Raw genomic sequence first — 1,896 nt, forward strand, 5'->3', positions numbered from 1 at the left:
TACCAATTCTTTTGAGCTATCCCAAAAAATTGAAGACGAGGGAGTTCTTTTTATTATAATTCATTTTATGAGGTCACCATTATCTTCCTCTCAAAACTAGACAAAAACACAACCACAAAAAGAAAACTACAAGACAGTATCCCTTAAAAACACAGTTACAAAAGTCCTCAACAGAATACTAACACAACAGTTCCAACAACATACCAAAAAAAAAAAAAAAAATACATCATCATTGAATGCAATTTATCCAAGGGATTCAAGGATGTTTCAACATACATAAATCAATACATGTGCTACATTACAATAACAAAATGAAGGACAAAAAACATATGATCATTTCAATAGATGCAAAAAAGCATTTGATAAAATTAAGTATCACTTCCTGATAAAAACTCTCAACAAATTAGGAATAAAAGAAACATAGCTCAACATAATAAAGGCCATTTATGCCAAAACCCACACCCCCCAACATACTGAATGGGGAAAACCTTAAAGACTTTCTTTAAAAACTAGACAAGGATGTACACTTTTACCACTATTACTTAACATAGTATTGGAAGTCCTAGCCAGAACAATTAGGCAAGAAAAATAAATAAAAGACATCTAAATCAGAGAAGAGAAGGCCAAAGTGTCCCTCTTTGCTGATGACATAATCTTATATATATATAAAAAAAAAAACTCAAGACTTTACCAAAAAATCTTTTAGAACTGATAAACTAATTCAATAAAGTTGCAGGATACAAAATCAACATAAAAATAATTATCATATGTATACATCAATACTGAACTAGCTGAAAAAGAAATAAAAAAGTAATCCCACTTACTATGTCTATAAAACAAAACAAACAAAAAAAAGAATAAATTTAATCAAGGAGTTGCAAGACTTCTATAAGGAAAACTGCAAAACACTGATGAAAGAAATTAAAAAGGACAAAAACAAAGAGAATGACATTTCATGCTCATGGATTAGAAAAATTAATATTGTAAAAATGACCATAGTACCCAAAACAATTTATAGATTCAATGCAATCCCTATCAAAATACCAGTGACATTCATCACAGAAATAGAAAATAATTCTAAAATTTGTATGGAAGCAAAAAGTCCCCAAATGGCCAAAGCAATACAGAGCAAAAGGCACAAAGCTGGAGGCATTATACCATTTGACTTTGAAATACACTATGAAGTTATAGTAACTAAAATAGCATGGTACTGGTTTCAAAACAGACACACTGGTATAAAACTGGTATAAAAAACAATGAAATATAATAGAGAATCCAGAAATAAATCTAGATATTTATAATCAACTGATTTTCAACAAAAAGACACCAAGAAAATACATTGGGGAAATGATACCGTCTTCAATAAATGGTGCTGGGAAAGCAGGATATCCATATGCAGAAAAATGAAACTGGACCCCTATTACCACATACAAAAATCAACTCAAAGTGGAGTGAAGACTTAAATGTAAGAACCTAAACTACAACACTATTATATGAAAACATAGGGGAAACACTTCAGAATATTGGTCAAGGCAAAGTGGTTTTTTTTTTTTTTTTTTAAGCTGGAGTCTCGCTTTGTCTCCCCCAGCTAATTTTTTGTATTTTTAGTAGAGACGGGGTTTCACCATGATGGCAAGGATGGTCTCGATCTCTGACCTCGTGATCTGCCAGCTTTGGCCTCCCAAAGTGCTGGGATTACAGGCGTGAGCCACCACGCCCAGCCAAGACAAAGATTTTATGGTTAAAACTTCAAAAGCACAGTCAACAAAAACAGACAAATGGAATTGGAATAGAAAAATGCTAAGCTTCTGCATAGCAAAGAAAACAATTAAGAGAGTGAAGAGGCCACCTGCAAACTAGGAAAAAATATTTGGAAACTATTTATCAACAAAAGAC

The sequence above is a fragment of the Homo sapiens genome, chromosome 4 (genome assembly GCF_000001405.40).
Source record: "Homo sapiens chromosome 4, GRCh38.p14 Primary Assembly".
NCBI classification, from domain to species: Eukaryota; Metazoa; Chordata; class Mammalia; order Primates; family Hominidae; genus Homo; species Homo sapiens.